At 45.6% G+C, this 17,653-nt stretch overlaps 1 protein-coding gene across 5 annotated transcripts in view; it reads right to left on the bottom strand.

The window, feature by feature from the left end:
• Positions 1 to 2,674, bottom strand: part of MAP3K15 (mitogen-activated protein kinase kinase kinase 15) — a 155,450-nt gene extending 152,776 nt beyond the window's left edge. For all 5 annotated transcript variants that reach the window (XR_007068188.1, NM_001001671.4, XM_011545508.4 and 2 more), the window contains exon 1: positions 2,067 to 2,674. Coding sequence is in view for 4 of the 5 variants with exons in the window: in NM_001001671.4 (NP_001001671.3) it covers positions 2,067 to 2,427 (361 nt within the window). In the remaining variant the exon portion in view is untranslated. The remainder of the gene's footprint in view (positions 1 to 2,066) is intronic.

Genomic DNA, 17,653 nt, shown 5'->3' on the forward strand with positions numbered 1-17,653 from the left:
AAGAGCCACCTGTGGCTAGTGGCTACCAAATTGGACAGAGTGGTTTTAGAATTTTTACAAAGAAGCCAAAGTGAGAGCTCTGTATCTTTTTTGGTGGAAACATCAAAAAGCAGTGAGTGATGGAGGACGAATCCAGGAGACAGTGGAGGTGCTCATCTGTTTAGCCCAGGAACCCACTTACTGTGTATGTACTTTCTCAAACCTCTGAAAGCAATTCTAATGCACTGAGAAATGATTTACTCAAGACCAGGACAAGGTTAACCAAAGGGAGCTCGTGGTACAGCCCAACATTCTAGGCCACCCAGGCCAGAGTGAGCCAAGGTGACGTGTCTGTTGTGTGGCTCCAGAATTGAAAGCCTGAGATTTGACGTCTGCATCTTCACAGTCGACCTGTTAGAAGGGCCCCCCGTACACACACACTCCGCCCCAGGGAAAGCAAAAGCCACCGCACACAAATCTTTCAGAGGTGGCACCAGCAGGAAGGAGAGTGTTGTGCCTCATGGCAAAAGGAACATTTAACCGTTCAGAGAAGAGTCTGTTCAAACTCCAATTTTGGAGCAGAATGAATACAAGTTGAGAAAACGGAGTGGTTCTAGGTGAAGTGGACTCCTGAACGACTTTTCTAAAAAGATGTTGTGCTGAAGAGTATACTCAGTGTGGTCAGAAATGTCAGGAGAGTGCTTTCAATGGGTCCAGCTGCCACTTGTTTAAACAAGCCTGACTCCCCCCCTACCCCGCCCTTCCAGCTGGGGAGAATTTGCTCTGCAAGAAAAACAGATCTGCGCTGCCTCCAGCAGAGGCTGAATCCTAATCATCCTAGCTTACTATTACAGCAAAGCAACTTCCCATATCCTATCTCATCAGCTTTTAGGTTTAGGGTAGGCACTGTTAACTCCCTTTGACCAGAAACTGAGGCACAAGGACTCCCAGGTAATTACTGTCTCACATATAATGCTTCTGAACGTCACCCAGGTGACAGAGGTTTGTCACCAAAGGTGCTGTAAGGGAAAAAACGTCAAGCAACAATTCATTCCACACCGAGAGAAACTCTTGCCAATCCAAAGTACGCTTCTTAAGGCTGGATTCTCAGGCACATTTATTATAGTGAGTTTAGAGACCTAGAGTCCCACTCCAGCAAAGGTGCCCCCTAACCCGTGAATGCTGTGCATTATGGGATAAAATATACGTCACAGGGTGGTGGCTCACACTCCACCGTCAGTGTTTTGGGGACGAGAATTGAAGTGTGCAAAAGAACACTGGGTATTTCTAAGTAGAGGCAACACACACACACGTAAGACACCGATTTCCACTCCTGGCTGCAAAATGGAATCGCCTGGGAAGCATGACACTTCTAAGGCCTCGGGTGCTTATGTCATTGGTCTGGGGTCCGATCTGGGCACCCAGAGTTTTAAAAGCTCCCCAGGTGATTCTAATATGTAGCCTGCGTTGGGACCCACGGCCGTAAGAGACCTTCCAGGAATGAGAAAGCAAAAGTTGGATAACTTGGGAGAAGGGGGGCTTGGTAGGGTCTGGGTTACAGGCTGTTTCTTGGGTTATCTGATGTTTAAGATGCCTGAAGAATCAAAGAGTCTAAATGCCCGTGGCCTCTATTTTCTTATCTGTAAAAGGGCACAATGTTAAAGACTCTACCCTCCCCCAAAGGCAGGACGGTCCTGTTGGACGGATCAGGGGGTGAGAGGATAGGAGGGGGGCTAAGGGGAGGGGGATGAGAGGAAGGGGACTAGGGGAAGGGGAGGTGGACTAAGGGGAGGGAGACTAAGGGGAGAGGGGACTAAGGGGAGGGGGGCCTGCGGGAGGGGGGACTGGGGGAGGGGGATAAGGGGAGGGGGATAAGGGGAGGGGGACTAGAGACGAGGGGGACTGGGGGAGGGGAGGGGGACTAGGGGGAGGGGAGGGGGACGAGGGGGAGGGGAGGGGGACGAGGGGGAGGGGAGGGGGACGAGGGGGAGGGGGACGGGGGAGAAGGGCGAGGGGGCGGGGCGGGTGCCCTGGCTCGTGTGAGGGTAGGTGAACTGGGACTGAGGTGGGGACGAAGCCGCTCTCACCTGCGTCGTAGAAGGCGTCGAGCACGGCCGTCTCCCCGAAGTCCAGCTCCCCGAAGGGCACGGAGGTGAGGTGAGCGCCCTCGGCCTCGCAGGCCCGCAGCAGGCACTGCCGCGCCCCAGCCTCCGGGCCGCCGGCCGCGCCGCCCTGGGAGCTCTCACTGCGCACGTATACTGCCCGCAGAGCCCGCCGCGGCCCGCCCCCACTCTCGCCCTCGCCGCTGCCGCCTGCCGCGCCCTCCGCCGCCCCGTCGGGCTCCGCCGGCCCGGCCGCGCCCTCCACCCCCGGCGGCGGCGGGCACTGAGGGGACTCGCTCGCCGCCCCGAGGGCCCCGGCCGGAGCATTCCCACCGCCGCTCTCCATGTGCCCGCCTGCGCGCCCTTCCCCTGGGCGAGTGGCCAGCGGCTGCGATCCGCTAGGAGGCACAAGTTACAGCAGCCGCGCAGGCGGTCCCGGCACCTGCTCCTGAAGCGCGGGACGCTACGGGAATCGAGGGAACGGAGCGCACCGGGGACCCCGCGGCGGGCCGAAGACGGCAGTACCCCTAGGCTGCAGCCTGACGCTCAGGCCCCAAGGCCCCCAGCGCCCTTTGAAGGCCGGAGAGAAAGAGGCGGGGGCTGGGGACGTCAGGGCGAGCGAGGGGCGGGGAGGGGGCCGGGGAGGGCGGCGGGGCAGGAGCGGGGAGGGTGCCCCCTGCTGCCCCCTCCAGGCAGCGCCCGCCCGCAGCCGGGAGACGCCGAACACGGGAACAGGAATTGGGGTTGTTTTTTTTTTTGTTTTGTTTTTTGTTTTTTGTTTTGGCCATCCCTCTAGCCTGACCACCATTAGGAGCTCCAATTTCTTTTTTCTCAAAACAACTTGAAGCATTCGAGCAGGGTAAAAACTCTTTCAAAGCATCGGTTGGATGGAAATGTTCTATTCCCAACTCAATACAGACGTATTAATAGTTTTCACCCGGCATTGGGATGAACGGATGCTTCATCCCTGGTTGCCAAGCGCACGGCCCCCCGTGAGCCCTGTGCCGGAGGCGAGCTCGTCCTGGCTTTCGCCGTGACCTTGACAAGGCACAGGGAGGCACCAGCAACAAATTTTGTCTGGAAGATAGACTCCAAGTACGCTGCCTGCCTGACCTTTGAAAATGCCGTGAACTCAAAGGGGCCCTCACTCGGATCTTAGGCACTTCACGAATTTGGACACAAATATTAAAAGAAAATAGTGTTACCACTGAGGGTAATACCATTATTCTTATTTTTTATCTTTTTTGAGACAAAGTCTGTCGCTATCGCCCAGGCTGGAGTGCAGTGGCGCGATCTCTGCTCTAGGCTCACTACAACCTCTGCTTCTCGGGGCTCAAGCGATCCTCCCACCTCAGCCTTCAGAGTAGCTGGGATTACAGGCACGCACCTCACCATGTCCGGCTAATTTTTTTTTTTTTTTTTTTTTTTTTGTATTTTTAGTAGAGACGGGGTTTCACTATGTTGGCCAGGCTGCTGTCGAATTCCCGAGTTCAAGCGACCCGCCCGCCTCAGCCTCTCCAAGTGCTAGGATTACAGGCGTGAGCCACCGCACCTGGGTCATTGTTTTCTAAAAGATAGAATGCACCGGACGCTGTCACAGACTTGGAGGTTTTTCTTTTTTCAATTGCAATATTATTTTTAAACTTTATTTTTAATTGACAAATAATTGTATATATTTATGGAATACAATCTGTTGTTTTTCATTTAAGTTCAGGGGTATATGTGCAGGTTTGTTACACAGGTAAACTTGTGTCATTGGGGTGTGTTGTATAGATTATTTCATCACCCAGGCATTAAGGCTAGTACCCATTAGTTATTTTTCCTGATCCTCTCCTTCCTCCCACCCTTCACCCTCTGATAGGCCACAGTGTGTGTTGTTCCCCTCCATGTGTCCATGTGTTCTCATCATTTAGCTCCCACTTATGAGTAAGAACATGGGGCATTTGGTTTTCTGTTTCTGCATTTGTTTGCTAAGAATAATGGCCTCCAGCTCCATCCATGTTCCTGCAAAGGACATGATCTCATTCTTTTTTATGGCTGCATAGTATTCCATGGTGTGTATGTACCACATTTTCTTTATTCAATCTACCATTGATGAGCATTTAGATTGATTTCATGTCTTGGCTATTGTGAATAGTGCTGCAATGAACATACACATGTATGTGTCAACAGAGTGAACAAACAACCTACAGAATGGGAGAAAATTTTTGCAAACTATGCATCTGACAAAGGTCTAATATCCAGCATCTATAAATAACTTAAATTTACAAGAAAACAACAAACAGCCCCATTAAAAAGTGGGCAAAGGACATGAACAGACACTCTTCAAAAGAAGACATACATGTGGCCAACAATCATATGAAAGAAAAGCCTCAACATCACTGATCATTAGAGAAATGCAAATCAAAACCACAACTAGATACCATCTCACACCAGTCAGAATGGCTATTATTAAAAAGTCAAAAAATAACAGATGGTGGCGAGGCTGTGGAGGAAAAGAAACATTTATACACTGTTAGTGGGAGTGGAAATTAGTTCAACCATTGTGGAAGACAGTGTGGCAATTCCTCAAAGACCTTATAATGGAAATAACATTCCACCCAGCAATCCCGTTACTGGGCTTATACCCAAAGGTTTTCTCTTTTTTAATAACAGCTTTATTGAGCTATCATTCACATACCATACAATTCACCCATTTAGAGGGTACGATTCAATGAAAGTTTTTAGTATATCCACAGCGTTGTGCAGCTATGGCCATAATGAGTTATACAACATTTTCATCACCCCACGCCCCAGTGCAAAAATCAATCAGTACCCATTAGAAACCACTCTCCCTCCTTCCCAACATCCCCAGCTCTAGGTAACCATAAGTCTACCATCTCTGTAGATTTGCCTATTCTGGACATTTCATACAAATGGAATCATGCAATGTGTGGACATAGGTTTTTGAGCATATACCGGAGCAGGATTTCTGGGTCACATGCTAACTCTACAGTTTTTTTTAGAAAACGTTTTTATAGAGATGGGGTCTCACTATCTTGTTCAAGCTGGTCTCGAACTCCTGGCTCCTACCTCGGCCTCCCAAAGCACTGGGATTACAAGTGTGAGCCACCACACCAGGCTTACCTCTGTGTTTAACCTTTGGAGAAATTTCCACGGTTTTCCAAAGTGGCTGCACCGTTTTCCATTCTCACCAACCAGCAGTGTTCCAATTTCCCTGCATCTTCACCAACACTTGTTATTGTTTTTGGATTATGACCATCCTAGCAGGTGTGAAATTGTACTTCATGATGGTTTTGATTTCTATTTCCCTGATGGATAATGACACTGGGCATCTTGTCATGTGTTAATTATTGGCCATTTGTATAACAACTTCTGAGTGATGTCTATTCAAATCCTTTGCCCATTTTTTAATTGAGTATTTGTCTTTTTATTATTGAGTTGTAAGAATCCTCTACATATTGTGGATAGAAGTTCCTTATCAGATATGTGATTTGCAAATATCTTCTTCCATTCTGTGAGCTGTCTTTTTACTTTCTTGAGGGTGTCCTTGGCAGCACATCACAAGCCATTTTGACACGTGCAGGATAGGACTTATAAAACATTTCAGCTTCTTTGCATGCTTCAGTACTAATACAGTCCACCTCCCACCCCCAAAGAAAGCAGAAACTATCTGTATAAATCCATGAAGAAATCCTGCCCTCGTTCCAGCCCTGGCGGAAATCACAAGCAGCTTCCATGTGCATCCTCGTCTGTGGTCAACGAATGGAAAATGGGTTCTGAGGAAATCTGTGAGAACACACAGACCAGGCTGGGAAGCAGGAAAGCTCAGAAAAACTCTCCACACCTTGTTCTAAGACATTTTTTGTATGATGCTATAAAAGGACACATGTATTCTTTGTAACGTTGTAATGCATAATAATAGTAATTTTCCTAATATGCCTGTTCATCTGGAATTATTCCAGGGACTGCCACAGCCTTCAGAAGGGCAAAGATGCCCACTTAAAATCCCTTGCCAGCATCTTGCTGTTGTCCCCATCACAATCTTCCCGAATTCCTCTCAGCTCTCACTGGGGCCCTGCTGATGGAGTGAGACCCACGGGAGCTGTGAATTCTGGCTTGAATAAGAGCTTCCTCTAAATACAAACCCTGCTGAGTAAATGCTGAGAGCGCAGCATTTACCCAGCTAACGAGCACCTTCCCTGAAGTTGGGACACACAGCCCACCTTCTCATTGTGTGTAGCAATTTGCACACCTGAAGCATGCCCTGGCCCCTTCCCCCAATGTCCTTCCTACCTCCCCCCAGCCCCACTGAGAAGAAAATTGCAAAATGCTGGATTCGTTTCTTCTGTTTAATTGAACAACTGTCTTGTTCTTACCTTTGCCTTGCCCCTTATTAAGTACATGCCCTGGAAACAACTTTGTCCTAATGTAGAGGTATCATGGAAAGTTCTTCCATATATTTAATTTTTTTTTTTTTTTTTTTTTTTTGAGGCAGGGTCTTGCTTTGTCACCCAGGCAGGAGTGCAGTGGCGCGATCACAGCTCATTGCAGCCTCAACCTCCTGTGCTCAAACAATCCTCCTACCACATTTTTTTATTTTTTTTGTAGAGATGATGTCTCACTATGTTGCACAGACTGGTCTCCAAATCCTGGGCTCAAGCAATCCTCCTGCCTTGGCCTCTCAAAGTGTTGGGATTACAGACATGAGCCACCATGCCTGACCTCTTCCATATATTTAGAGGAAATCCCTTTGTGAGTGCTACCCACTATTTTTTTTTTTTTTTTCAGACAGGGCCTTGCTCTGTTGCCCAGGCTGGAGTGCAGTGGTGTGATCATGGCTTACTGCAGCCTTGACCTTCTGGTCTGGGCTCAAGCAATCCTCCCGCCTCAGCCTCCCAAGTACCTGGGGTCACAGGTGTATGCCACCATACCTGGCTAATTGTTTCTGTAGAGATGGGTTCTTGCCATGTTGGCCAGGCTGGTCTCAAACTCTCGGGCTCAAGCAATCCTCCCACCTCCGCCTCCCATAGTGCCGGGATTACAGTTGTGAGGTACTGTGCCTGGCCACACCCACTGGTTCCAATTTAATTATTCTTCCACATGGCAACTGTCCAAGAATTCTCCTTAAGTCTTCTCTTTTGCAGGTGATACCCCACCTCCCAGGCCCTTCGATCATTTCTCCATGGCATCATTTCCAGACTACTCTCCACCCTGATGACCCTCTCCTAGAGGATTCCATATTTGTCTCTATTGTTGTTTTGTGTATGTAAAAAACTTTTTTAATTAAAATGTTTTCTTTTGAGATAATTGTAGATTCACATGCAATTATAAGAAATAAAACAGAGACATCTAGTGTACCCTTGATCCAGTTTGTCCCAATGTTAACATCTTGTTGTATACTACCATAACCGAGACATTGACCTTGATACAATCAAAATACAAAAGAGGGCCGGGCACAGTGGCTCACACCTGTAATCCTAGCACTTTGGGAGGCTGAGATGGGCGCATCACCTGAGGTCAGGAGTTCAAGACCAGCCCGGCCAACATGGTGAAACCCCATCTCTACTAAAAGTATAAAAATTAGCCAGGCGTGGTGGCACGTGCCTGTAGTCCCAGCTACTCAAGGGGCTGAGGCATGAGAATTGCTTGAACCCGGAAGACAGAGGTTGCAGTGAGCTGAGATCATGCCACTGCACTCCAGTCTGGGTGATGGAGTGAGACTGTGTCTCAAAAAAAAAAATATATATATATATATATGTGTGTGTGTGTGTGTGTGTGTGTGTGTGTGTGTGTACACACAAGGATTGGTTCTGTCACCCTTTGATAGCCACACCCATCACCCTTCTCAACCCCCATCCCTAACTGCTGGCAAGCACTCATCTCTTCTTCCCCACTTGCCCCCTGCGACGGAGTCTTGCTCTGTCGCCCAGGCTGGAGTGTACTGGCGCGATCTCGGCTCACTGCAAGCTCCACCTCCCGGGTTCTAGCAATTCTCCTGCCTCAGCCTCCCGAGTAGCTAGGATTACAGGTGCCTGCTACCACATCTGGCTAATTTTTGTATTTTTAGTAGAGATGGAGTTTCACCATGTTGGCCAGGCTGGTCTCAAACTCCTGATCTCAAGTGATCCGCCCGCCTTGACCTCCCAAAGTGCTGGGATTACAGGCGCCCAGCCACATAACATTTTTGAAGTGACAAAATTATAGAAATGAAAAAAAGGGCCGGGGGCATTGGCTCATGCCTGTAAGCCCAGCACTTTGGGAGGCCGAGGTGGGCGAATCACTAGGTCAGGAGTTCAAGACCAGCCTGGCCAACATGGTGAAACCCTGTCTCTACTAAAAATACAAAAATTAGCTGGGTGTGGTGGCACACACCTGTAGTCCCAGCTACTTGGGGGGCTGAGGCAGAAGAATTGCTTGAACCCGGGAGGTGGAGGTTGCAGTGAGCTGAGATCGTGCCACTGCACTCCAGCCTGGGCAACAGAGCAAGACTCCATCTCAAACAAACAAAAAGTTATGTAAATGGAATCATACAATATGTAACATTTTGAAATTCTTTTTTCATTCAGCATCATTCCTTGGGATTCATCCAAGTTGTTGCATGTATCCATAGTCCATTCCATTTATCGCTGAGTACTATTCCATGGCATGGATATACCACAGTTTCTTTAACCATTCACCATTTGAAGGACATCTTGGTTGTTTCCAGTTTTTGCCTATTATAAATAAAGCTGCTATAAACTTTCATGTACCAGTTTTTGTTGTTGTTGTTGTTTCTTTGAAATGGAGTCTCACTCTGTCACCCAGCCTGGAGTGCAGTGGTGCAATCTCAGCTCACTGCAACCTCCACCTCCCAGGTTCAAGCAATTCTCCTGCCTCAGCCTCCCGAGTAGCTGGGACTACAGGCACGTGCCACCACACCTGGCTAATTTTTGTATTTTTAGTAGACATGGGGTTTCACCATGTTGGCCAGGCTGGTCTCAAACTCCTGGCCTCAAGTGACCTGCCCACGTGGCCTCCCAAAGTGCTGGGATTACAGGCGTGAGCCACCATGCCTGCCCCCACTCGTTTTTGTTTTTTTTTTTTTTTTTTTTTTTTTTTTTTTACAGAGTCTCACTCTGTCACCCAGGCTGGAGTACAATCTCAGTTCACTGCAACCTCCACCTCCCAGGTTCAAGTGATTCTCATGCCTCAGCCACTGTGTAGCTGGGACTACAGGCGCCCACCACCACACCCTGCTAATTTTTGTATTTTTAGTAGAGACCGGGTTTCGCCATGTTGCCAGGCTGGTCTTGAACTCCTGGCCTCAAGTGATCTGCCAGCCTCAACCTCCCAAAGTGTTGAGATTGCAGGTGTGAGCCACTGTGCCCAGCCATTTTCTAGTTGGATTTTTTTTTTTAACTCTTTAGTTTGTGTGTTCTTTGTGTACTCTAGATACCAATCCTTTGGTGGATATGTGGTTTGCAAATATTTTCTCCCAGTCTGTAGCTTGTCTTCTCATCCTCTTAACAAGAACTGTCACAGACAGAACAAAAGTTTTTAATCTTGATGAGGTTCAATTTATCAATTTTTTTCCATTTATGGATTGCGCTTTTGGTTCCAAATTTAAAAACTTTTTGTGTAGCACTAGGGCCTGAAGATTTTTGCCTATGTTTTGTTCTAAAAAATTTTATAGTTTCACTTTTACATGCAAGTCCATGATCCATTTTGGGGTAATTTTTGTATAAGATGTGAGATATAGGTTGAGGTTTACGTTTTTGCCTGTGGATGTTCAAGTGCTTCAGCACCATTTGATGAAAAGCTTGTCCTTCCTTCACTGAATTGCCTCTTTGTCAAAAATCAGTTGTGCATGTGTATGAGTCTATTTCTGGGTTCTATATTGCATTGACCTGTCTATCCCACCACCATTAACCACACTCTCTTCATTAGTGAAGCTATATAGTAGCTCTTAATACTGGGTAGAAGGATTCCTCCTTTACTTTTTTTCCAGGATTGTTTTAGCTATACTTGCATCCAGGTTCATGAGAAATATCGATCTGTAATTTTGTTTTAATTTTTTTGGTACTGCCTTTGCCTTGTTTGGATATCAGGGTAACACTAGCCTCATAAAATAGCTTGGAAACTATTCTGTTATCTTCTATCTTCTGGAAAAGATTGTGTAAAATTGGTGTCACTTCTTCCAATGTTTGGTAGAATTCTCCAGTGAGGTCATTGAGACTTGGAGATTTGCTTTTCAGGGTGTTTTAGTTACAAGTTCAATTTTTTCTAATGGTTATATAACTATTCAGATTGTCTATTCTATCTTGGTTGAGTTTTGGCCTATATTTTTCCATATACATTTCAGAATAGGCTTGCCTATGTCTACAAAAGAAGTTTCTAGGATTTTGATAGGAAGTATATCAAACCCAATAGATCAGTTCAGAGAGAATAAACATCTTTATTATGTTGAATCTTCCAAATTATGAGCATTGTATGACTCTCCATTTAGATGTTATTCGATTTCTTTCATTAGAATTTTTTAATTTTCAGCATACAGATCCTATACACATTTTGTCAAATTTATACCCAAGAATTAAATTTTCTTTAGCGTGATTGTAGATGGTATGATGTTTAATTTCAGGCTTCACATGTTCATTGTTAGTATGTGGAAATGCAACTTTTTGTGTGAATTTGTATTACACAACCTTGCTGAGCTCACTTATTAGTTCAAGAGATTTTTGTTTTCTTGAAATTTACTATGTAGACAATCATGTAATCTGCAAGGGAGAGTTTTCTCTCTCTCTCTCTTTTTTTCTTTTTTTGTTGCCTTATTACTGTGGCTAGAACTTGCAGTACTATGTTGAAAAAGAGCAGTGAGAGTGGGCATCCTTGCCTGATCTTAGGGGAAAAACATTCAGGTCTTTCACCCTAAGGATGATGTTAGCTGTAAGTTTTTTGTAGGTGCTGTTCCCTCTGTTCCTAATTTGCTGAGAGTCTTTATTGTGCATGGGTATTGCATTTTTTTGCAAATGCTTTTTATGTATCAATTGATAGGACCATATGATTTTTTCTCTTTAGCCTGTTGATATGGTGGATTACACTGACTTTCAAACGTTGAGCCAACCTTGCATTCTTGGAATAAATCCCACTTCGTTGTGGCATGTCATTTTTGTTACGCATTGCTGAAGGTGATATGCTAATATTTTATTGAAGATATTTGCATCCAGGTTCATGAGAAATATTGATCTGTAGTTTTGTTTTCATTTTTTTTCGTATTGCCTTTGCCTTGTTTGTATATCGGGGTAATACTAGCCTCATAAAATAGCTTGGGAACTATTCTGTTGTCTTCTCTCTTCTGGAATAGACTGGGTAAAATTGGTGTCACTTCTTCAAATGTTTGGTAGAATTCTCCAGTGAAGTCATTGAGACTTGGAGATTTCTTTTTCAGGGTGTGTTAATTACAAGTTCAATTTTTTCTAATGGTTATATAACTATTCAGATTGTCCATTCTATCTTGGTTAAGTTTTGATAATTTGTGGTTTTCAAGGAATTGGTCCATTTGTTCTAAGATGTTGATGTCATAAAGATGCCCAAGATGTCATAAAGTTGTTCTTATTTACTATACTTTTAATGGCTGCCTTCTCTCTTTTTATCTTTTTCAGTTTTGCTATCTATCCAAGTAAATGTAAATATTCAAGTCTACTGATGAGCCCATCAATGATAGTCTTCATTTCAGTTGCTGTGTTTTTTATTTCTAGCCATTTGATTCTTATAGTTCCCATCTCTGCTGAAATTACCTATCCGATTTTGCATGATGTCTACTTAGGTTGTGAGAGACTTTAACATAGTAATCGGGCTGGTCACGGTGACTCACACCTGTAATCACAGCACTTTGGGAGGCTGAGGCAGGCAGATCGCTTGAGCTCAGGAGTTCGAGACCAGCCTGGGCAGCATGGGAAAACCCCATCTCTACAAAAAAATACAAAAAATTAGCTGGCTGTGGTGATGCATGCCTGTAGTCCCAGCTACTTGGGAGGCTGAGGCAGGAGGATCACTTGAGTCCAGGAGGTTGAGGCTGCAGTCAGCCGTGATCACACCACTGCACTCCAGCATGGGCTACAGAGTGAGACTATATCAAAAAAAAAAAAAAAAAAACTAAAACTAAAACCATAGTGATCATAATTATTTAAAATTCCTGCCTGTAATCCCAGCACTTTGAGAGGCTGAGGCAGGCAAATCACCTGCAGTCAGCAGTTCGAGACTAGCCTGGCCAAAATGGTGAAACCCTGTCTGTACTAAAAATACAAACGAAAAATTAGCCAGGCATGATGGCATGCACCTTTAGTCCCAGCTACTCGGGTGGCTGAGGCAGGAGAATTGCTTGAACCTGGGAGGCAGAGATTGCAGTGAGCCGAGATCACATCATTGCACTCCAGCCTGGGTGACACAGCAAGACTTCATCTAAAATAAATAAAATAAAATAAAATTCTCTCTCTGATACTTTAATAGCAATGCCATATCTAAGTCTGAATCTGATCACTTGTCTCTTCAGAATGCTTTTTCTTTTCTTTTGGCATGCCTTGTAATTTTTTGTTGAAAGGTGGACATTGTATATAGGGCAGCAGATACTAAGATAATAAACCTTTAGTGTGGGACTTTATGTTGATCCAGCCAGGAGTTGGGCTGTGTTGAGATTTGTTTTCCTATGAACATTACAAACTTCAGATTCCTCTAGTGATCTTTTTTTGTCCCCCACCTCTCTTGGCTTTGGGGCTTCCCTTTGTGCTGCTCCCCAACGTCTGTCTCTTGCAGTCTTCCCTGCTATTGTTATTCCTGGAGGCTTGTTAGCATGCTGTTGGGAGATGGATTCTCTAATATTCTAAACTTCAGTCTTTGGAGTGCACAGTGGGCTTGTGTCTCGGGTGTAACTTTCACAGTTGTTTCTGTTTCTCCTCCAGGGACAGAGCTCCCTCCCATTCCCTTCTCCCAGCTGCAGTGGGTATCTACAAGTGTTTTCAGTCTATAGACTTGAAGCCCTTTTCTCTGAAGGTTGAATTGTTTTTAGTTGAGATGAAGAGCTAGAGTTGAGTGCAGTTCCCTCCCCTAGTTGCAATGGTAATTCACCAGGGCCCTCGGACCATGTCTTTCCCCATGCAGAATAGCCTTTTGTTCCTTAAGGGAGAAGGGTCTGAGTAGATTTCTCAGTGGTTCCTGAGCCAGCACCATGAGTTTTCTCTGGATTTCCCCTGATCTTCCCTGTGAGAACCAGGTGGGGTTCCTGGAGGAAAAGCCTGCAGAAGGATGACAGTCTTTCTTAGGAGCTGCACACTCTCAAGCTAGCCCACAGTTGGCTTCCAGAAATTGGTCAAATTTTCTAGCCTGACCTTTCTACCTAGTTCTATGGCATCTGGTGGTTTCTGCCCTTGGTAACCAAATGCTCAGATCCTGTGTCTTGCAGGAAGTGCCTAGCCTCTTTTTTTTTTTTTTTTTTTTTTTTTTTTTGAGACAGGGTCATGCTCTGTCACCCAGGCTGAAATGCAGTGGTGTGATCACGGCTCACTGCAGCCTCAAGGCTCAAGTGATCCTCCTGCATCAGTCTCTCAAGTAGCTGGGACCACAGGCAGGCGACACTACACCTGGCTATTTTTTGTCCCTTTTGTAGAGACGGGGCCTTGACATGTTGCCTAGGCTGATCTTGAACTCATGGGCTGAAGCAATCCTCCCGCCTCGGCCTCCCAAACTGCTGGGATTACAGGTGTGAGCCACCACACCTGGCCCAGATTTTCAAATGGCCATTTGCTCTTTGAACTTAGTTCTCTATTAATTTCCAGTCTGTCCAGACTTTTTCTTGTTGTTAGCACAGGAAGGGATTTCATGCAGCTCTTCCATATCTCTGAGCTGAAACTGGAAGTCCTATCTATTCAACCATATTTGATCTAAAAAAAATGTTAGTTTCACATGTTTCAACCAAATAGACTACGGCATTATTTCTGAGTAGTGCACCTTGTTTTGCTTCAGCCAAGGACAACTAGAGATTTCTGGAAAAGATTGCTGTCAGCTACTCTACACACAACTCACTGGGAATGAGTTGATCCCCCCATGATGGTGGTCTTCAAACTTATGCGTGCATCAGAATTACTGAGAGGACTTGTTAAAACACAGATTGTTGGGTTGCTTTCCAGAATTTCTGATTCAGGAAGTCTGGGACAGGGCGCAAGAATTTTCATTTCTACCAGGTTCCCCAGTGGTGATACTAATGCTGTTCTTTTGGGGATCACATTCTAAGAACCACTGCTCTATGGCTCTTCCTAGAAGCTCAGCGCTTATCTACCTTTCCCACTTACTCATCACTTTGAGGGCAGATGGTTTGCCCTGAGAGGGAGCAATTAGGTTCTCAGCTGACCTCAGAGAAGAATCAAGAGTCAGCAAAGAATTCCCTTTTTTTTTTTGAGACAGAGTCTTGCCGTCACCCAGGCTGGAGTGCAGCCTGCAAGTCACCCAGGCTGGAGTGCGGTGGCATGATCTCAGCTCACTGCAACATCCACCTCCCAAGTTCAGGTGATTCTCATGCCTCAGCCTCCTGAGTAGCTGGAATTACAGGTGTGTGCCACCATGCTGGGCTAATTTTTGTATTTTTTAGTAGAGACAGGACTTGTTGGCCAGGCTGGTCTCAAACTCCTGTCCTCAAGCAATCCACTCGCCTCAGCCTCTCAAAGAGCTGGGATTACAGGCATGTGCCACCATGCCCAGCTAATTTTTCTATTTTTAGGAAAGATGGGGTTTCACCACATTGGCCAGGCTGGTCTCGAACTCCTAGCCTCAAGTGATCCACCTGCCTCGGCCTCCCAAATTGCTGTGATTACAGGCTTGAGCCACCATTTTCAGCCCAGAATTCATTTCTTTTTTTTCCTCCAGAATGAGTATAGGAAAAAAAAAAAAAAAACTTTACTTTCTAAAACAGAGGTAGCCACAGGTTTCTAAGTAGTGACTGGACGTCTTAGAGAAAATGGTGTTCAGATGACATGAACTTGGTTTTGAGAACCATCGTAATGCAAGAAGCACTCTCCTTAGGGTCCGGGTGTTGGCTGAGACTCATATAGAAGTAAAGTGCTCTGAAGGCTTTCTTTGTATCTGTTTCTTTTGCTGTGGAGCTTCCCTACTGCCCCAGTTTTGTACTAAAGTTTTAGTAAAGGTCAAACCGGGCTGCTCAAATGTATAGAATAAATTGCATTTGACATCAGTCACAATTACCAATTCATCTATTCAGTCAACTACATATCAAGTGATTACTATTAATATATATCTGTCAATGTTTTAGGTGCTGGGGATAGAGCAGTGACAGAAAAGTCACTATCCTCAGAGTGGTTTCATTCTAAGGGAGGGGAGATTGAAAACAGAAACAAAGCAAGCAAGGGAAAACAAATGAAGGAGGTGTTGATATGGGGACTCTGGGGGTGGGTCAAGGCTAAAGTTGCTCTTTTATTTAGAGGGGTAGGGAGGGCCTCTCTGATGAGGTGACATTGGAGCAGTGACCAATCAGGGAAAAAGAGATCCAGACCTGACCCCCATCAGGATTTAGGCAAATGCAACTTTAAGGAAAGATGGGTGGTTAGTCACTTGTATATGCTAATGTTAATAATTAACTAAGTTTATAATTGGCCAAAAATGATTTTTGCTAAAAATATCAGGCAACTTATACTCACGTTCCACATTTTGGAATTATCTTAAGGATAGGTCAGAAATGTGGACATAGGCCAGGCATGGTGGCCCACGCCTGTAATCCCAGCACTTTGGGAGGCCAAGGTGGGTGGATTGCTTGAGCTCAGGAGTTCAAGAGCAGCCTGGGCAACACGGTGAAACCCTGTCTCTACCAAAAATACACACACACACACACACACACAAATGTAGCCAGGTGTGGTGGCGTGCATCTGTGGTCTCAGCTACTTAGGACGCTGAGGAGAGAGGATCCCTTGAGCTCGGGGGATGGAGGTTGCAGTGAGCCGAGATGGCACCACTGCATGCACTCCAGCCTGGGTGACAGAGTGAGACCCCATCTCAAAAATAAATAAATAAATAAAAAGAAAAGAAAAAAGAAAAAAGAAATGTGGACATAGATTGATGCGTAAAGATGTCCATGACAACTTTATTTTAAAAAGAAAAAAATTAAGTTCGTGAGAAATGTGCTTCTTTCCCTGACCTTCCCTCCCCTCAAGGCTCCAGTGGGCGTGTCTCCTCTGTCACGCCAAAGCTCTGGGGGCTTTTCTATGTGGTTGTGTTTTGTATTGAGGAAGACTTGCCTGTTTACCTGCCTACTTCTGCCCATTTGACACCGAGCTCCTTCAGGGCAGGGACTCTGTCGCATTCAGCGCCTCTCATGGCATCTGGCACATCACCATAAGCACCCTATATATGTTAGATAAGATATTGGTCAAATGCTTTCTGGAATATTTACAGATGGAATACTATGCAGCCATTACAAATTGTTTTCACAAAAAAAAGACAAAAAATGATATTAAGTATAAAAAGCAGGCTATAAAACTATAAATACAGAATGACCTTCTTATCAGAGACCAAAATTAAAGGCTGTTTCTGAGAATGTCTGTCTTCTCTTTATATTTTGTATTTTCTACTTTGGGCATAAATATTCGCTTCATATTCAGAAAAAAAGTTATCTAAAAATTCTCAAGGTGACTTTGTTCTACATTTGAGCCTACAGTCACCACTCTGGTGCTCTAAACATTTGTTTTTTTTGGCGGCGGTGGGGACACGGTCTCAACTCTCTCACCTACGCTGGAGTGCAGTGATGCAAACACAGCTCACTGCAGCCTCAACCTCCTGGGCTTAAGTGATCCTCCCGCTTCAGCCTCCTGAGTAGCTGGGACTTCAGGCACGCACCACCAAGCCTGGCAAATTTTTGTATTTTTTTTTGTTTGTTTTTGTAGAGATGGGGTCTCCGTATGTTGCCCAGACTGGTACTGAACTCCTGAGCTCAAGCAATCCACCTCCCTTGGCCTCCCAAAATTCTAGGATTACAGGTGTGAGCCACCGTGCCCGGCCTAAACTTTTTTTTTTTTTTTTTTTTTTGAGAGAGAGTCCCACTCTGTTGCCCAGGCTGGAGTGCAGTGGCACTATCTCAGCTCACCGCAACCTCTGCCTCCCACGTTCAAGCGATTCTCCTGACTCAGCCTCCCAAGTAGCTGGGATTACAGGCACCCACCACCACGCCTGGCTAATTTTTGTATTTTTAGTAGAGACAGAGTTTCACCATGTTGACCAGGCTGGTCTCGAACTCCTGACCTCAGGTAATCTGCCCGCCTCGGCCTCCCAAAGTGCTGGGATTACAGGCGTGAGCCACCGTACCCAGCTTGGCCTAAACATTTTTAAGACATGGAAGATTCATTGGTGACACTTTCATCGACAGGCCCATCCTCAGCATGTGAAGTGTCCTCAATTACCCTGAAAGTTGTCACCCTCAGCTGTACCGTTTTGTCTTCCTCATCACCCCTCCCAGATTCTCAGCACCACATGCGTCCCTATCAAAGCAGATTAGTTCTACCTTCAGGCCTGAAGCTTCCTCTGATAATTCCTCTTTC

This window comes from Homo sapiens, chromosome X, assembly GCF_000001405.40.
Source record: "Homo sapiens chromosome X, GRCh38.p14 Primary Assembly".
Taxonomy (NCBI): domain Eukaryota; kingdom Metazoa; phylum Chordata; class Mammalia; order Primates; family Hominidae; genus Homo; species Homo sapiens.